This window comes from Homo sapiens, chromosome 3 (assembly GCF_000001405.40).
Source record: "Homo sapiens chromosome 3, GRCh38.p14 Primary Assembly".
NCBI classification, from domain to species: Eukaryota; Metazoa; Chordata; class Mammalia; order Primates; family Hominidae; genus Homo; species Homo sapiens.
In genome coordinates, this window is record NC_000003.12 from 121994339 (window position 1) to 122013306 (window position 18968).

General features: G+C 44.9%; 1 protein-coding gene across 7 annotated transcripts in view, besides 6 other annotated features; it reads right to left on the bottom strand.

Annotated features, from left to right (window-relative positions):
- ILDR1 (immunoglobulin like domain containing receptor 1) overlaps positions 1–18968 on the bottom strand; it is a 74333-nt gene that overhangs the window by 7016 nt on the left and 48349 nt on the right. For 5 of the 7 annotated variants that reach the window (XM_047448044.1, XM_047448043.1, NM_175924.4 and 2 more), the window contains exons 2-5: positions 12653–12823; positions 10906–11055; positions 7407–7526; positions 6970–7116 (exon numbers count right to left, since the gene is read on the bottom strand). In XM_047448044.1, coding sequence (XP_047304000.1) covers positions 6970–7116; positions 7407–7500 — 241 coding nt within the window. In that variant the 5' untranslated portion in view covers positions 7501–7526; positions 10906–11055; positions 12653–12823. Of the gene's footprint in view, positions 1–6969; positions 7117–7406; positions 7527–10905; positions 11056–12652; positions 13498–18968 lie in introns of those variants that run through there. The other 2 variants (XM_005247389.5, NM_001199800.2) reach the window with 2 other exon arrangements.
- Positions 1024–1318: an enhancer, noted in NCBI's record as "tiled region #6303; HepG2 Activating non-DNase unmatched - State 13:Ctcf, and K562 Activating non-DNase unmatched - State 13:Ctcf". NCBI's record gives its function as "activates a minimal TATA promoter and a strong SV40 promoter by Sharpr-MPRA in HepG2 and K562 cells {active_cell/tissue: HepG2 | K562}" and the evidence as "EXISTENCE:reporter gene assay evidence [ECO:0000049][PMID:27701403]".
- Positions 3078–3157: an enhancer, noted in NCBI's record as "active region_20350". NCBI's record gives its function as "activates an Ori minimal core promoter by ATAC-STARR-seq in GM12878 lymphoblastoid cells {active_cell/tissue: GM12878}" and the evidence as "EXISTENCE:reporter gene assay evidence [ECO:0000049][PMID:35858748]".
- Positions 3188–3297: an enhancer, noted in NCBI's record as "active region_20351". NCBI's record gives its function as "activates an Ori minimal core promoter by ATAC-STARR-seq in GM12878 lymphoblastoid cells {active_cell/tissue: GM12878}" and the evidence as "EXISTENCE:reporter gene assay evidence [ECO:0000049][PMID:35858748]".
- Positions 10755–10874: an enhancer, noted in NCBI's record as "active region_20352". NCBI's record gives its function as "activates an Ori minimal core promoter by ATAC-STARR-seq in GM12878 lymphoblastoid cells {active_cell/tissue: GM12878}" and the evidence as "EXISTENCE:reporter gene assay evidence [ECO:0000049][PMID:35858748]".
- Positions 11574–12075: an enhancer, noted in NCBI's record as "NANOG hESC enhancer chr3:121724759-121725260 (GRCh37/hg19 assembly coordinates)". NCBI's record gives its function as "activates a minimal SCP1, AML or CMV promoter by ChIP-STARR-seq in primed H9 embryonic stem cells {active_cell/tissue: H9 hESC(primed)}" and the evidence as "EXISTENCE:reporter gene assay evidence [ECO:0000049][PMID:30033119]".
- Positions 18507–18556: an enhancer, noted in NCBI's record as "active region_20353". NCBI's record gives its function as "activates an Ori minimal core promoter by ATAC-STARR-seq in GM12878 lymphoblastoid cells {active_cell/tissue: GM12878}" and the evidence as "EXISTENCE:reporter gene assay evidence [ECO:0000049][PMID:35858748]".

Sequence of the window (18968 nt, forward strand, 5' to 3'; positions counted from 1 at the left end):
GGCCCTCAGCCAGGGCAAGCCCCACACCTCCCACTTCACTTCTTTCCACCTAGGGGCCTTGCAAGAGGCCAGCTTCTCTTGTCCATTCTCACCTATTTTGCATGGGAGTAAGGGTTAAGGGGGTAGTAAATTAACTGTCCCCCTGGCGAGGAGCTGGAATTAAATTATCTTCAAGACTGCAACTTTTGTACCCCAGTAAAGTATATTCTTAAAACTTGACTTCCTAGCCTCAAAATCATTTCATCATCTTGCCCATTCCTAAGGTCACCCAAAATGCATAGGTAGATTCATGGATACTAGCATACAATGAATAAGTGGGCCATAGGCCAATAAAACTAGAAGCCAAAGGCCAGAAACAGAAGGTCCAGATGCGAAGGACTTAGAGGATGCTGTGAGTCAGGGGCTGGGGGCATCTGCTCAGAGTGAAGGAAAAAGGGAAGGGCATGATACTGAAGATAATGGGCAGAATTACTTGGCAATTGCATGGAAGAGTATTTCTAGCTGGCATGCCAACCCTGGGTGGAAGAAAGTTTGTGGGAAGAAGGCAAGGGCGTGCAAAAAGCTCAAGTAGATTCCAGTGAGTCCTTTCTACTCTTCCCGCCTTATTAAGTATTGAGATTGTCCCTAAGTAGGGGAATTTCTCAGGGGTGGGGTGGAAGCAGGGAAGGGAGATGAGAAATACTATTTCCTTTTATGGCAAAGAAAATCATATAAAAAAAGTAGTGCAAGGGATCCATAAAAATGTCACTCCAGCCCCTTAGGTGGGGCTGGTCTGAGGCATACAACCCGCAGTGAGTACAAATTAAAAACAAAAGCATTTCGTTGTTTTTGTTTGTGCTTTTCTATTTTGGGGTAGTTGTGGCTGAGTGCCTCATGTTTCCTAAGGGCTCTGCCTATCCACGCGTGTTGGACGTGTGCCTGTACGTTAAGTGCAGGAAGTGCCAGCCTCAGTGTGAACGAGGTTAGGCCCCAGCCTGGCATTCTCAGTTCCTCCTTGCTTCCCTGGGCCCTGTGGCCACCCCTAAAACAGCAGGGCCACGTACAGTAGAAGGGGGCAGAAAGCTGGCATCCTGAACACAGCCACATAGGGTGTAGGGTTTGCCAAGGCCAGCAGCAAAGGGGTCATCCAGTGGGCTGCTCAGTGATTCCAGTATGAAACTTCCAGCACAACAGGAAGTGGTTGTAACAGAGTCCCCAGAAATGTCCGGAGCTCCAACCCTCAGTGTGAGTCACAGCCTAGCCTGGAAGAAATCAGAGGCAAACTTGCAGCAGCTCCCCCAGCAGCTACACCTTCATGCCAGCTGATCACCTGGAGCCTCCCTGAAGACAGGTCCACAGGCTCAGCACTGCCCTCTCCCTCTGCAGAGATGCCTCTCCCTAGCTCCCTCTTCTGGCCACCACCAACACACATACTGGAATGCCCAGCCTTATACATGTAATTTACTTTACATAAGCTAACTAGTTCTCTGAAAAATCTCTTCACGTGGGAATCCAATGAGGAAGCTGGGCTCAGAGAGATTACCTTCCCAGCCTAAGGTCCTACAGCTAGCGACTGGCAGAGCCAGGGTGTGAACCTGTGTGACGCTCAAGCCTACACTCTTTGTGTGCCGCACCGCCAAGTCCCCAGACTCCTTTATTTTCTGTGATGAAGCAAAAAACCTTCCCTGCAGGCACCTCCTCAATTTACCTCTCTCTAACTCGGCTCCAGACCTTTCAAAGTCCACTCCAGACTAGTCTCTCCTTCCATAGCCTCGGGACATCTGATTCCAAGGAGAACAACCCTACCCACTGTACCCCTTTAATGGAATCCTAGCTTCTTCCAGATGGTCCTATTCCCATTTAGCCACTCCTCCTGCTTCCTTCAATCAGGGAGAAAGGCAGAGTTGTGCTTCCTCTTTGCTCCTCAAATGATTTTTTCACTAATGGGACTCCTTCCACAAATAACTCTCTAACAACCCTTCCAGATCCTCCATGAGTGTTTCTGACATTTCCCTGAGTTTTTTTCACACAGTCCAGAGATTAATTCACCTGCTCCCTTAGCTGCCACACCATTTTTCCAGGGTCTCACCCTTCCTTCTTGCACTAAAACTAATGAAACAGGATGGAAGACACAGCCTTTGAGCTTTTCTCTTGCGTGCCTTCCCCTGCATCCCTGAAAACAGCCTCACGGGATGTCTAGGCTATCAGGGGTATCTGTTGCTCACCTAATGGGGAATCAGATAGGCAATAAAAGTAGGAAACCTGGATAAGGCAACAAAGCTGCAAAAGACTCCCAATAAGTTATCTTTTAACCTCAGTGGAGTAAAATCTGCCTTAGTCACCCTTAATGAGCTTGTTAAAAATACAGCTTTCTGAGCCTCACTCCCAGGGACTCTCCTTCAGCTGGTCTAATGCAAGGCAAGAAAATTTGTATTTTCAACAAGCTCCCTGTTCCAATAATGTAGGAGTCAACTTGGAATTGACTGCTGAGGATTCTCAACAACCCTTTGGTCACCATTCCTTACCATCCCCTCTCCACTCTTACAGAACCCATTCTTGCCCTTGTTTTGTTTTTTTTGTTGTTGTTGTTTTGTTTTGTTTGAGATGGAGTCTCGCTATGTCACCCAGGCTGGAGTGCAATGGCACGATCTCGGCTCACTGCAACCTTCGCCTCTGGGGTTCAAGCGATTCTTCTGTCTCAGCCTCCCGAGTAGCTGGGATTACAGGCGCCCACCACCATGCTCAGTTAATTTTTGTATTTTTAGTAGAGATAGGGTTTCACCATGTTGGCCAGGCTGGTTTTGAACTCCTGACCTCAGGCGATCTGCCTGCCTCGGCCTCCCAAAGTACTGGGATTACGGGCATGAGCCACCATGCCCAGCCCTTGCCCTTCTTTTAACCTATGGTCACTTAGTCTATTTGCTTTCTCCAAAACTACCAGTCCTCCCTGATTTGACTGACCAGTCATTTCTGGGACATCCTCAGGTGTTTCCTAGAATCTGATGCCCCTTTGAACTCTTGTCATTTTAGCTTTAGGAAACTACCAGCAGATGCTTCTGGGTCCCAACCAGGCAATTGACCTCAAATAGCCCTCCTCCCAATAGGGCTTTCCTTCTTGACCTCTCAAACATGCATTCCCTCCTCTATAGCAGCAGGTTAAACATTCCCCACCTCTTAGGTCTTCCCCTGCCTGTGAACTTTCTGCTGATGACTTCATCTCTATTGATGAAGAGGAACCAGCCCTGAACGTGGAGCCAAGAAACCTAGGTTTAGTCCAGGGCCCACTGCTAACAGGCTGTAACAAGTAATTGTGGAAAAATCTCCCTCGACTTCACTTCCCTCAGCTGTGAGGCAGAAGGAGATGGGGCAGGAGAGATCAGAGAGTCTCACTGTGGCTGTGGCCTACTGCTGGGCATGCCTGGAGGTTCTCCAGTAAGGAGGGCCAGTAACTGCTCTAGGGATGAAAGCCGTTTCTCCAGTTCTTAGGGAAAAAATACGTTTCCATTTCAAAAATGTCTATCTTTAAGTCCTACAGAGGGCTGTTTACCACTATTAGGTGAACTATCAAGGGTTACTAAAATTTGGTCTTATTTTCATTTTTCTCCTCTCTAATCCTTTTTTAACTCTCACTAGAAAGTGGGAGCAGGTTGGGGAGGTGGGATGTGATCAAAGAAGTTCAAGAATCACTGACATGTTTCTTGAAGCTTCCTTCTGCATCTAGAATTTTGATTTGCTGAAATCGAGTCAGGCAGATGTGAGCTCCCTCAGCTTCCTCCCTTACATCTTAATCATCCTCCACATTTTAATGACTTCCTTTCTGTCTTCAGAGGCCAGGCTGCTTCCCTTTCCCTTCCGCTCCCTTTCTAAGGCCAGTTCTTTCCTTGTAGGGCTGAGGCCACTCCTACCAGCTTCATCACTCATCAGTGACCTCACTTCTTAATGCTTCACTTTACTCATTTGATATTAACCTTGGTTCTTTGCTTATAAACATGTTTAGGATTACCTTATTCTACAAACACCAACAATAACTCCTTACTCCTCTAACCAAAGAGCTTTCTTTAATAACTCATGCCCTTCCATGCAATTCTTCTTGTCAACAAACTTCTCAGGACAGTCTACCCCAGTGACTCACTTTGAAAGTGACCTCATCGGCCCAAGTTCAGGGATCTTTGTAATCTACATTTCTTGATTTTACTAGTTTTTTAAAATGAACCTAATCCCTCAGGAGAAACAACTCTCCCGCAGAACCTCCATTTATTAGTTTACTAATAAGTGGTGCACTTATCATTTGTGTTAGCTTTGTCCCCAGTCTTGCCTGCTTTTAGTGCCCCACGAACCTAGGGAGTCTAAGCAGGCATCTTGGGCGGGTTTTTCTTATCTCATCCTGCATATTATTACTCCAGTGACAGTGATTTCTCCATGGCCTCCTCCCTAAGATCCCTGAAAGGTAGGGGGCCCCACAGTCCAATGCTGCATCCTCCACGACTTTTCCCCTCCTACGGTGTCTTAGCCAATCCCACAGTGATCCACCTACAGAGGCTGTGGCAGTCTCTGCTGTAGGAATGCAGACTCTCACAAGTCAGATGAACATGGATTCAACTCTGCAAAACCACTGCTACTTCCTAGCTGTGGGGCTTTTCTGACCTTTGGTCTCCCATCTTTTAAAAGAGATGACTTCTGCCTTCTAGGGTGGTTGTGAGGATTCAGTGAGGAAACGTATGCAAGGGGACTACACATCAGACATCCAATAAAAGTTAGTTCTCTTTTCCTGTAAGACAGCAACCTCAGAGCACAGGCCTGAAACCAGACTCAGGCCACCGACTTTCTTCACATTGTAGATCAGGTTTTGTTTCTATCTTAATAGGTCATTCATTATTTTTCCCTTAAAAAATTTCCTTTCAAATGGATCAAACTGATAAAGGTGGTTATCTCTGGGTACTCAGATGAGTCATTACATTTTCCTGAATTTCTCAAATTTCCTACAATATAGTACTTTATTTAGATCATCTGGAAGAGGAAATGTTATTGAAAATAGAAGCCAAAAAAAATTAAAAACCTTCTATTTAAAGCAGTTGGTGCTATTCCATCTATTTGACCAAGAAAATAACTTTATAGAATAATTTTGTATTATTTTGCCTTTACCATGTATTCTGTAGCCAACATTTTTTAGGGCATAATTCTGTTATAGCTCTGTTTTAAAGGATCAGATGTTAGTCCAAAGGAAGATCACATTGAAAGCAAGATCATCTGCTCCCTCTTCCCTTGCCCTAACTCAAGGATTCTCAAAGTGTGGCTCCTCTACCAGCAGCAGCACATCACCTGGAAACTTTTGAGATAAGAAATACAAATAAAGTTCTAAGCCCCCAAATGACTAACAGACCCCCTCTTGGCCAAGGGGACCCCAGAGAAATCTTGGAAGCTAAGTTCATGGCCATGACGGGATGGGAGGTCAGACTCACCTCATTATATCCCCTCTCACAGTGACCACCCCTTTCAAAAGACTCCACGTGGATAATGTCAATTACTAGTTTATCTTCCCAGGTACAGAACAAAGGCAAGATAAGGTCTAATTCTTCTTTTCCCCTTTTCTAATATTCACCTTATCTTATGTAAAATATAGATTTGCTGGGCACTAACTAAAGTTTCACAAGTATATAATCATTTGTTTCATTGCTGCCTCCCACTTCTTAAGGAAAATGTATAAATACTAAACCTCCTGGGAACCTCTTTGAAAAAAAAAAACAGCCACAGATGCATCTGTGACTTATGTTTTTTCCCTGGGTATGCCCTCAAGCTAGCTCAATAAACCTCAATGATCTGAGACTTATGCCTCAGTCACTCATTTTGATTGCCAGAGAAATAAAAATTCTCAGGTCCTGCCCCAGACAGGTTGAGTCAGAAAACGGAGATGGCAGCCAAAAATTAAGTTAAGGAGGAAAAAAAAAAAAAAAGAAAAAACAGAAATCATCCCTACCTCCTGACCTCTGGAGAGGGGAGAGTGGCTGAAGGTGACTTGATCACTGATAGCCAATGACTTAATCAATCATGCCTATGTAATGAAGTCTCCATAAAAACCCAAAAGGACTAGGTTCAAGGAGCTTCCTGGCTGCTGAAGACGGAGGTCCTGGGAGGGTGGCACACCTGGAGAGGACATGGAAGCCCCTCCCCGCTCCCACATACCTTGCTCTATACATCTCTTCATTTGGCTGTTCACTTGTATTCTTTTAAATATTCTTTGTAATAAGTGGGTAAACATAAGTAAACTGTTTCCTTAAATTCTGTGAACTGCTCTAGCAAATTAATTGAACTGGAGGAAAGGGTCATTGTAACTCCCAGTTTATAGCCATTTGCTCAGAAGCACAGGTGACAACCTACTAGTTGCAACTGCAATTAGCATCTGAAGTAGGGGGCAGTCTTGTGGGACTAAGCCTTCCACCTGTGGGGTCTGGTGCTATTTCCAGGTAAATAGCATCAGAATTGAGTTAAATTATAGGACATTCAGTTGGTGTGCGCTGAGTAATTCCTTTTTGTGTGGGGAAAACACACACACACTTGGTGTCAGAAGTATCGAGTGGCATGTGAGAATAGGAAAAAACAGTTTTGTTTTCCTTTACAAGTGGCCTTCTCTCTTACTGGCTTATTTAAACCACTCGCTCCAGCCCACCTTATGTCTAAATGAGGTCAGTGCTAGGAATGAAGATCGAAGCACAGGTACATCAGGGCTGCAGAGGAAATGCCATCAGTAGGCAGAGCTATCTGAGAGATGCTTTAGGCAGCCTGAGGAGTGGACAGGCAAATGTCCTTCCATGTGGCTACCTAGCCTCCCCAGGCATCATTTTCAGGGCTGAGGCTAATGTCCTCTGTCCCTATGATGGGAGAAGGGCATGGAGGAGAACCTGGAAGAATCTTTGACCTGGCACTTGAAGCTGATCTGCTTGACGTCCTGGTCCCTAATCCACTCCATTCCACTGCTTGTCTGTCCCCTCTCACCTTCCTCAGGACAGCAGCAGTGGGCAGGACAGCAGGGACAGCGGATATAGCAGCAGCAATACTGAGGACAGCACTGGCACCAGCACACTCCAATCAGCAGCAGGAGGAGGAGGGCTCCCAGGATGATGAAGATCACTGTCAGCCAGTCTGCAGGGGAGAAGCCAAGCAGGGGTTGAACTAAATATTCAGGGGGAGGGAATACTTCCAGTTCTGATATCCTAGAGGTCTCATAAACACAGCTCTTGACCTACAGGTTAAAGTTGAGCAATATACTGGCAAAAAGGTAAAAGTTTAGCTTTGATAAGGGAACTTTAGAGGTTGATAATCCAATGACAAGAACTTAGGCTTGCTTATTTCTGGTTTTTTTTTTTTTTTCCTGTGAGTAAAAGTGTTACGGCAGTGAGGGTGACTGAATAGAAAGCTCCAGTAGCACTTACGTAGGACGATGAGCTTTACTTCCTTATCGGGGTCTCCTGATGTGTCCCCTGGAGCCTCAATGGTGCAGTAATACACTCCATGGTCCCACCACATCACTTCATTTATCACGAGATCTGCTCCTACACAGTAAGGAGGGAGAAAGTGCCAGTGTCAGAGGAGAGAGCACTGGTTTCTAACCCATGACACCCTCAAGACCTGGGCAGCATGGCAAGACCTTGTATTTACAAAAAATAATAAAAAAAAAATTATCCAGCCATGGTGGCATGTGCCTATAGTCCCAGCTTCTCTGGAGACCGAGGTGGGAGGATCGCTTGAGCCCAGGAAGTTGAAGCTGCAGTGAGCTATGAGTGTGCTAATGCACTCCAGCCTGGGCAACACAGTGAGACCCTATCTCAAAAAAAAGTTAAAAATAAAATACTGTTTAAGTTGCCAGTATATGGGGCTTTTACTTACTCGCAATCAAACCTAATCCTAACTGGTACACTGGAAATGATTATTTAGCTGCATTTCAGATGAAGAAAATCAAGACTCAAAGGAACTGGCCTAATAACATGGAGACAATGCTCATCAGAGGTAGGTTCAAACCCACATCTCTCTGCCTCAAAGCTGGTACTCTTAACCACCAAGCTTTCCTGTCTTCTCTAAATTGGGTGGAAAAACTCCACATTCTGGGTCCCTTATCAGCCTAAAATGAGCAGTTATCTCTGGATCCTGAAGGACAGGTATGAGATGAACTTGAATAAAGATAAAATGCCAGTATTTTAAAAGTAAATGTAACTCAAGAAGAGTTTCAGTTCTAGTGGGCACTCAGGTTTTTTGTGTACCTCCATTAGGATAGATGAATGGTTTATATATATATTTGCTGTACATTCATTTTTTTTTTAATTTTAAGGTCAGGGGTATATGTGCAGGTTTGTTACACAGGTAAACATGTGCCATGGCGGTTTGCTGCACAGATCATCCCATCACCTCGGTATAAAGCCAAGCATCCATTAGCTGTGCTTCCTGACGCTCTCCCTCCTACATCCCCACACCCTCCAACAGGCCGCGGTGTGTATTGTTCCCCCCATGTGACCATGCATTCTCGTCATCCAGCTTCCACTTATAAGATCATCAGGGTGGACAGACAACCTACAGAATGCGAGAAAACTTTTGCAATCTATCCATCTGACAAATGTCTAATATCCAGCATCTACAAGGAATTTAAAATGAATGGTTAATATTTATGTTCAAGTTTAGCAAAGTCAATAAATATTCACTAAAGCCCTTTTGTGGGTCCAGCATTATGTCAGGCACCGAGGAGATGTAAAGAGAAACAAGACCCTCTTCTGTCCTGAAAGGGTTTAAAATCCAGTCAAAGGCATCAGGGCAGCCTCCGTGTGAAGTGCAGCGGCAGGCAGTTCCAGCTCCCCCACCCACAGTAAATGCCACGGAACCTTAGCATTACAGACTTGCTCCTGCTAGGTTGGTGGTAATATCTGCAATTCTTTATTATCTGTTTGTCAAGAAATGTTTATTGAGGAAATGAAACAAAAATGCAAGGTCACGCACCAGTGGACCTAACTTTGACTTCTGTTTCCTTCTCTTTCTACGTCAATATCTACAATTTTTTTCCTACCCGCTATTTTCCAAACCCACTACCTTTCCCAGAAATAAGCTTACCCCAGACTTGGAAAAATGATGAAAGTGCTTTTAAAAAACTCCCCCTCAGGGCATGATGTGTATTGTAAATCTGCTCTAATTTTTATTGGTGACATAAAGAGTATTTTAGGGGTGTCAGAGTAAGAAGAGTTTTCAGATATGTTAATATTTTAAAGGATCTAAGGACTGATTTGACAGGGTCATCTCAAATGATGCAGGCATAGGCAAAAAAGTGTCAGAAAACAAGGGCTTCAGGAAGTCACAACAAGCCTGGAGACAGAAATAAAAACAGAGGAGAATACTAATGCATTCCTGTGGTAGTAAGAATGAAGCAGGGTTTGAGCCAAAGGTGGCTGGGAGTGGGAGTAGTGGAAGGTATTTACCTTCACGTTTTTAGAAAAAAAAAAATAATAAGAGCAGGGACTAGCTACTATGGGGATTTCCATCCTTCAGAAACTGTTCAGGTAATTTGCTAATTAAAGAGGCTTGAAACTTTGAGGTCAGATAAGAACAAATTCTGCTGGCTTTGGAAAAGGCAGAACCACCTTGGATCTTTGAAGATGCCCCTGAAGACTAGAAAAGAAGGACAGATGTACCCTAAAACTGAGGGCTGGCTTGGGGAAAATCAGATGCCGAATGTAAAAAAAAAAAAAATCAGACTTAAGTGTTATAGACAAAACTGAAAGCAATTATTAAACTGGTTCCCCTTAAGTGACCTACCTTTAAACAGTCAGAATATTCACTGATTCCTTGATATTGTAGCGATGGCCACCATGAGTGGCCCACTGGGTGTATTCTTCCCTTTTTCCCCTTTTAACTAACAAATATTTATTTAACACAGCACATAAAGCCCATTGAAATAGGCTCTGAATTATGTGCTACTCTATGGCAGCAACTGTGGATTACACAATAGAAATATGAGGAGCTAAGCTAAGCCATTTATCCAAAAGTACACGGAGTGATAACTAATGCTTACTGCCCACTTCCTGTTTGCTAAATGCTTTATACATATTACCTTAGTCCCCACAAATCTCCATGAGCTAGGTACTATGGCAAGTCCCATTTTATAGAAATTGAGGCTGAAAAAATTGGAGAGGCTTGCCCAGGTTCATATACCCTGTAAATGCAGAATTGGGATGCACACCCGCACCTGACTCCAGAGTCAGGGCTCTCACCACTACTCCCTGCACTGGGCACAGAGAATAGATAGGCTTTAGACACAGCTCTCACATAGCGCGCTAGATATTCACTTTGGAGTAGGGAGGAAGATACCATGATGCCTGTCGTTCAGATGAAGAAACAGAAGCCAAAGAAAATAACTGATCACTGGTCACTGAGCTAGTGAGAGGAAGCACTAGGATTCTCACTTGGGGCTTTTTAGTCCAAGCCCAGTGTTCTTTCTTCTATCAGTGGAGGACAGTGGTCTCAAGGTGGTCATCTGCTCAGAGGACCCTATTTCCTTCCATGTGAACAACAGGAATAGCCGGAAGGAAACTCAGGGACCTGGGGTTTCAGTAGGCCCTGAGAGCAATTTGTGGAAGGAATCAAAGAAACCTGATCCACAACTTAGCCCTGAATCTCAGGAAAGCAAAGGGAACCATTCACCCCTAGACCTTTAGCCAAAGCTATAGATAGCAACAGAACAACCTCTGGTCCAGAGACCAACTTCCAGGGAAGTCACTTCAGCTGGTGCAGCACATTCTATGAAGCTGGCACTTTCCTCAAACAATGACAGTGACCAAGTAGACCAACAGGCAGCAGAAAGAAATGGGAAATCCCATGCTGACTCAGCCTGCCAGGCCTGGTGTCTGCACCTCCCCCCACCCCCAGTTCCCCTGACACCTCCCCCGCACTCACGGTTCTGGATGGTGATCTTGCGCTGCCGGTAATCTACCCCCAGCACGGGCTCATTCTGCCCCCGCCGCTGGGCCACTATGCGAACTTCCCGCTGGTTGTCGTTGCAGTCATTGGATGGGTCCTGGCCCAGGGATAAAGCTGCCTGGTATGCTGAGGAGAGAGGGCACACTAGAGTCACACAGCAATAGGGGGTTCCCACAAAAAAAAGGTTCCCTTCCTGCTCCGGGCGTGAGACACAGTGAAGTGTCTCAATTTTTCCCAAGACTATTCATCCCTTGGGACTCTTGTTAATCACGAAGATCCTGATTCTGCAGGTCTAGAGTGGGGTCTGAGATTCTCATTTCTAATGAGAATCTGTGTGATACCAGACACCACATTTTGAGCAGCCAGACTCCTGACCATCATTTTCATGCCGGCTCTACTCCCCATCTCCTATTCCAACTTCCTTTGTCTCATTTTCAGAGTCACCCCAGCCTCTCTCTGCTCCCATGGAATTCATCCACCTGCCCTTAAAACATAAGGTCACATGCCTGTAGTCCCAGCTACTCGGGAGGCTAAGGCAGGAGAGTCACTTGAACCCAGGAGGCAGAGGTTGCGATGAGTTGAGATCACGCCATTGCACTCCAGCCTGGGCAACAAGAGCGAAACTCCATCTCAAAACAAAAACAAAAACAAAAACAAAAACAAACAAACAAAAAAAAAACCAAAACAGAAAATATAGGGTCTGAGAGCTGTTAAATCTGCCCCTGGCAAATGCCTGCTACCCTAGCCTCTCCTCCCTGGCCACTTAACCCAGGCATTTTAAGAGTAACCCCCAGGAAACAATGCCTCAATTTAGAGAGGAGTCTTTTGGGGACAATGGCAGACTCAGTGGGTGGCTCAGACAGCTCTTGAGGTTCTACTCAAATCATATTGTGAGACATTAGCTCAAGGGCTCAAAAAGGTGAAGACTAATGCCTCCCTCTCCATTTGCTTCTTCTCAGGAGGCTCACTTTTCCCTATGAACAGGGTGTCTACTTCTATTCTCAAAATCTCCAAAAAATTAATTGTCTTGGTGCTAACAGTGGGGTGGTTCTAGGTTCCTTTGTTCTTTGAGAGAAGGCAGAAATGGGCAACTAGGAAAGGGCTCTGATCCAGACAGCACAACCCATATGCCTGGGGCAGTTGTTACTGAAAGGCAGGACTGGCCAACTCTAAGGAGGAGTTGTGTAGCACTAAGAGACTTCCCACAGTTAAAGGGCTGCCTGGGGGGGCACTGGAGGGCTTAGTCAGCAGAGGAATGACCATCTTCCCGAAGGCATACTGAAGAAGGGAATATAGCAAGGAGCAAGAGACTTCACAAATGACCACTCATCATTTGTGCTGAGTGTAGAGTCTTCTTGCCTGCATTCTAAGGTGGTGGGGGTGAGGGGAGGCGGGCCTGCATCATCAGCTCAGCACATTGGCATGGAACCAGGAATGGACAGGGAGGCAGGACTTTTCCCTAATGTTTAAGTTTCTTTAAATTTTTTTGAGAACAAAGCAGGAAAAAATTTTAAAATAAACTAGTATGTGACCTTGAATACATTATTTCATCTACCTGGGCTCCGTTTGTTTATCTATAAAACAGAGGAACTACATTAGGTGATCTTTGTGTCTTCTCCTCACTACCAAGATTTGTAATCCTAAATAATCCCTCAACCCTAACCGCAGTATGTCACAGAGGTGTCTGGGACCCACAGAGGGCCAAGGGGGTAAGGATACTCACACGCTGAGTAGTAGTCAAAGATAGGGTCCTTGCAGAAGGACTTGAAGCGCCATGTCACCACCACGTCCTGGAGCTGGGCAGAGGTGGTGTAGTCACATTTGAGGATGATAGAGGCAAACAGGGTGACATAGCGTTCTGTGTGCTGGACCGTCACAAGCAAGGACAGGCACCCTAAAGCCAAGAGCAGGAGAAAATGCTGAAGGTGACCTACTCTGCTCATGGGTAAGAAAAACAATGCAAATGGGCAAAAGATATTGCCTGCCATCCTGCCTGACCTGGCTAGGAGCTCACAGACAGAGTCTGGGTTCTTACTCACCTGGGCAGGCTATGGGTGGGGTGGGGTGAGAACGCACTCAGCAGCCTCAGAGGGACATAGGAAGAAAGGAGTGAGGAAAACTCCCAGGAATTTACAGTGCATTAACAGTGATGACATATCCAACAACAATATAAGGATTGTATCAAAATAAAGCCACATTTGTACAGAAGTGACACTGCTAATATATTTTTTTCCTCACATCATGTCTCTTCTTAAAATGGTTTCCCGTTTCCTAAGGATAAAGTTCAAGCTCCCTAACCAGGCCTACGAAACCCGTTAGGTCAGCCTACTGCCCTTCTCGTCTGCCCCGTGTCCCTTCACGTCCCATCGAGGGGTCAGCCATTCTGAGCTTTCTTCAGTCCTTCCCATGCTAAGACCATTCTCTTCTCCAGGTGCAGCTCTTTCAGCCTGGAGCACTCTTCCACATCACCTGCCACTGCTCCACTCTCTTCCCTGGGCTAATTATGATTCGTGCCTTGGGACCTCAGCTGAACAGGGTTTCTACTTCTGTCTACCCCATAGACAGGGTTCTGTGTCTGTAACCCTACCTTCTCCAGCAGCCCTCCTGTCTGCAAATCTGGGAGAGGGGCCTCCCTATTTTTTTCCTAAGTGCGCCAACCTACCCCTAGGCAGCACTTTTCATGCTTCTTGTTGATGGTCTGCTAACTGTGGGCTCAGAGAAAAACGCAGTCGGCCTTCTCAAAGTCATTGCTCAAATACCAGTGCCCAGTACTGTGCCTGTCACCTACTTGGCACCCAACAAATGCTTGTTGAATAAATGATGGAATGAATGACTAAGAATATATTAACCAGTGGAAATTCAGCAGTACAGGCAGTGAGCATAAGCATAGAGCAAATAAAACAGATGTGACAAACTGGATCAAGAAAGACTTGAAGAAATTAAGAGGAGATTTTTCCTTTTAAAAAATGTCCTCTCCCTACCCTCCAAACCTACAGGCATACTTAAAGCTCCAGGTGTGCCTTGATAAGGGATTAGGTAGCACCAAAATGTCAGGTGGGACTTTGGCACAGTCAGGGGTCCAGACATAACCAGCACCTTGGAACATTCCTATGTTAGTTTGGTTTCTAGGCCAAGTTGTGAAGGGGTTCTCTAGTGGGAGGTTTAGTGTGGAGCACTAGTACTCAAACTTGAGTATGCATCACCAGAGGACTTGTGACAGCCCAGATCACTGAACCCTATGCTAGGAGTTTCTAGTTCCGTAGGACTTGGGTGAGGCCCAGAGACACGCATTTTTTATTTCTTTTCTTTTCTTTTCTTTTCTTTTCTTTTTTTTTTTTTTTTTTGAGATAGAGTCTCGCTCTGTCACTCAGGCTGGAGTGCAATGGCACGATCTCAGCTCACTGCCACCTCCACCTCTCGGGTTCATGGGATTCTCCTGCCTCAGCCTCCCAAGTAGCTGGGATCACAGGCGCCTACCATCACACCTGGCTAATTTTTGTATTTTAGTAGATGCAGGGTTTCACCATGTTGGCCAGGCTAGGCTCAAACTCCTGACCTGAAATGATCCACCCGCCTCAGCCTCCCAAAGTGCTGGGATTACAGGTGTGAGCCACTGCGCCCGGCCTGAGCCACTGCACCTGGCCTTCTTTTTTTCTTTCTTTCTTTCTTTTTTTCTTTTTTTTTGAGATACAGTCTTGCTCTGTTGCCCAGGCTAGAGTGCAGTGGCGCAATCATGGCTCACTGCAACGTTGACCTCCTGGGTTCAAGTGATCCTCCCATCTCAGCCTCCCAAGTAGCTGAGACTACAGGCATGCACCACCATGCCTGACTTTTTAAATTTTTAGTAGAGATGAAGTCTTGCTATGTTGCCCAGGCTGGTCTTGAACTCCTAACCTCAAGCAATCCTCCAGCCTCAGCCTCCCAAAGTGCTGGGGTTATAGGCGTGAGCCACTGCACACAGCAATTGATATAAATTTCTAACTAATTTCCAGGAGATGCTGATGCTACTGCTCTAAGGACCATACTCTGAGAACCACTGGTGTAGACTCAATTTAAAACACACACACACACACACACACACACACACACACACACACAGGCTTTAGATTCAGATACAGCTGGGTTCAAATTAAACTTTAATATTTACTTGAATTTTGGACAAGTTATTTACTCTCTCTCTGAGCTAGTTTCTCAGCCATGAATGAAGATGATGATAGTGCTAGCCTTATCAGGTCCTTGCAAGAATGCAATGAGATAATCTACTGTCCTTGGCATGAAGCCTTGCACATACACTGCCACATTAGTGTCAGTATGTGAGTCTCTTCCTTTTTTTCCCCTTATTACGAGGGCCAAGGAGAAAGAGGTTGGAGTTGGGGTTTTCTCCAACAGAGTTTTCAAACGGAGCCACCTTCATTTTGACCAAGGTACTCCCACAAACAAAACAAATGTAGTTATTATCCTACGGAGCAGCTAGGTGGGCCTGTCTTGAACGCTAGAGCACATGATTCTTGGGTCCTGCCTGACCTACTGGTCACAGCCCTTGTAAGACTGTCCCCTTAAACTTCTGATAGGCACCTGCATCTGGGTTTCTCACATCCATAGACAGACAGCAGAATGCTGCTCAGGACAGGCACTCACAGAAATGACCTGACCACCTATCTCCAGGACTGGGCTGTGATGCAGATGCCCCATGGCAGATGTGCTGGATAGAGACTCTGCGGCAGTGCAGGCGAGAGCTGTGGGCAGGAAGACTTCATGAAAGGAAATGATTTAACCTAGGCTCCAAGAAGCAGGTAGAACTAAGATCACGCATGAGAAGTAGGAAGAAGGCAGAGAAACTCATTGTTTCAGTAAGCAAGAAAGGAGGGAGCAAAGAGCCTTATTAGGAAGGGGCAGTTACTTGGGTAACCTGGGGGAAACCAATCTAGCTGTGTCTCCAGCTTTATGGAAAACAGAGAAGATAAATAAGGCGGGGCTGGTGGTGGTGAGTGGGAGGTGGGGCGATGGGGTGAAGTCTAAATCACAATCCAGTTCAATTTCTTGTCCATGGATCATCACTGAAGTCTTTTCTGAAGAACAGTAATACAGTGAAAGTGGTGTTTTTAGGAAGATAGATGACTTCCCCACTCAGCTGTAAATGAAAAAAAAATATATATCATTTTAAAAATAAACCTTGAGTGGTTTTGGGAAAAAAAGCTGCTGTCTCCGTAAGCTGTAGAGTCCCAGAAATCAGGCCAATTAGAATGGAAGGGCCGGTGACCAGCATCTCAAGCCTAACATGGCTTTCTTAATCTAATTTTTGGTTCTTGTTCTTTCTCTGTGACTACCCCTTTGTGTGTTTTTTGTTTTTTGTTTGTTTGTTTCTTTTCTTCCAGAACTGACCTGAAATAGACCTTGGAGATCTCACCAACCACAGTTTTATCTGAATAGTAGAAGCAGCCACAGATAAGATTTTCACAATGAATAGGTTGCCATTGTCAACACTGGCTTATTTTGTTCCATAACACACATACCGATGAGAAGAGAGAGGAAAACACTGATATTGGTCTAAATAAAATCTTAGGTTCAACAGCATCTTCAAATATATTCTTTTATATACTAAATGTGATACCTGGGAGAAGATTAGCTGTGCTCACTTCCTGTACAACAAATCTGAGGCTTGGAAATTTAAGGGACTTGTCTGTGGTCATTCGTTTTTTCTAAGGGGGTCAGAGTCGAGATTCTGTCCCTGAGCAGTGCTCCTGCCTCTCAGCTTGGCTATTCTTTAAATAAAAGATAATTGGTATTCACAAGTTTGCAAATAATTTGAGCTGGGGGCCAGGCTATGTGAGCAATAATTAAAATATAACTGGTGCAGTCACTCTGACACAGTAAAATAAAGAACATGTAGGCTCCTTATTTGGCTGAATGTAATTTGATATAAATAGCAGTTTAATCAACACTCTAGTCAATATCACCTGTATAGAGGTAGCGCATTTGGGAGCAGGGAGACCAGGTTTGCTGGGGGTCAGAAAAAGGAATTTGGTTAGAGTCAGAAATTGCTGTGGGGTAGCTTTGAAGATTGCAGAATCTGACACCCTTGAGGAGGGGAAATGGGGAGAAAGGTGATCACTCAGCTCCCCTTCCATGAATGCCCTTATTGTGGACAAACCACATTTGGGGTGACAAAACTCACCTTTACCAACGTCAGCACTGACTTTGCTGCTTGGGTACTCTTTTATCTTCTCTTCTATTTCATCCCTGTGTGAATATCAAGCCTTGATATCTGCCAGGTTCAACAAGTTCTGGCCATCTTGAGCTCATTCACACTCTCTCCAGGGGTCTGCCAGCCAGCCCCACAGCATCCTGTGCAGACCTCAAACGTCCACCCCCTGCCCTGTCTCTCTTTCTCTCTCTCTCTCTCTCTCTTTCACACACACACACACACACGGGAAGAGTCCCAGGAGAAGAGGTACTGAACAACCCAGCAAACTCTTCTCCCATATCTCAGTTGTTGCTGTGGGTCCTTAGCATCTATTATGCACCGGGTGATGTACATTCTTGGTCTCTAAATCTCACAAACCCCCTCAGCTAGGCAACAGCCCTGCTCATATAGGTGGGCAGAAGTTCAGCTCAGAGTATAAGCCACACCCCCACGTGTCCAACATCACATACCTAAAAAGTGTCAGCATCAGGATTTGAGCTTGGGCCTTGCTGACAACAAATCCCAATTTTTCCCAAGCAAGCAAGCTTGATCTTCCAAAGTAGAAGTCAGGCGCCAGGCTCTTAAAAAGCAGTCAGATTTTCCAGATTGGGAAGGAAAGGCAGTAGCAAGACAGTCCATCTCAAAGGCAAAAATCACCCACTTTCTTTTCCTATATCCTCTAACTTCTCTGTAAACCTAACCACACTGGGCATGCACAGAACTAAGCAGGTGGAGTTTTCAAGAAAGGACCCAAAGCAGCAAATCAGGCTGAAAATGTGAACAGGATCAAAAAAGAGAAACGTCCTGATTGTAGTCATCCTGGTTGCAACTTTGCTCTTTCAGGCTTACTACAAGTTTTCAAATTCTTAATTTTTTTTCTATTCTTAAAATTCCTTTATCCTGTGGAATTTTCTCCTCCCCAGTTCATTGACTCCTCATTTCCTAGCTGTCTCTATCATTTTCTCTCAAAAATGTTAATTCTAGAACCTGACTCCCTGAGTTCAGATTCTGTCTCCAATCCCTAACAGCTGAATGGTAATGTAATATAAACAGCAGTTTATTAAACACTCTAGTCAACATTAGTTGCTGGGGGTCAGAAAAGGGAATTTGGTTAGAGTCAGAAGTTGACCTAGCAAGTTATTTCCAAACTATTGTTTTCCTTTGTATGCAAAACTGAGATGAAGATAATACCTGCCTCAGAGGGTTGTGGTGAGCATAAAAAAATGTCCCCCATTTAGCAAAGAGCCTGGCACATATAGACATTCAACAAACCTAAGCTATCATTTGTATCATTTGTACTTATCTTGACTACTTCAGGAGTTCCAGATCCACTGAGACTAGCATGTAAAAGCATTTTGAAAAAATGATACAAATGTAAACTATCATGATTGTCTTCTCTTTGCAAAATGAGTTGGTGCCTCAAAAGCTTCAAAAGTTTCATAGCTTTGTACCCTGGTGGACTCATTCACAGCTTGCCAGGCTCTGTGAAAGAAGGGAAGGAGACCTGTCACATGGGTAGAAAGGAAACTTCAGATGAGATATCAGAGCTCATGGGAAGGAGAGAAGGGGAAGGGGATTCTCTGATTCCCGCCATCAGGTACTTTCCAAGGCCAGGCTGCTGTGCTGAGTGGGGACTACCATCCTACACTAAAACAGAAGGAAACACACCAACCAGGGCAGAGTATCTTTACAACTAAATGTCATCTGTTCCTAAATACATGCACATCTTTGCACATTTTTTTATTCCTCATTTCCTGTGTAGTATTAGATTTGGCAAGAAGGAGTTTTAGTTTGTAGAAGATACTCACACAGTATAGGAATACAGGTATATATTTTAAAATATTTTTAAAATTAA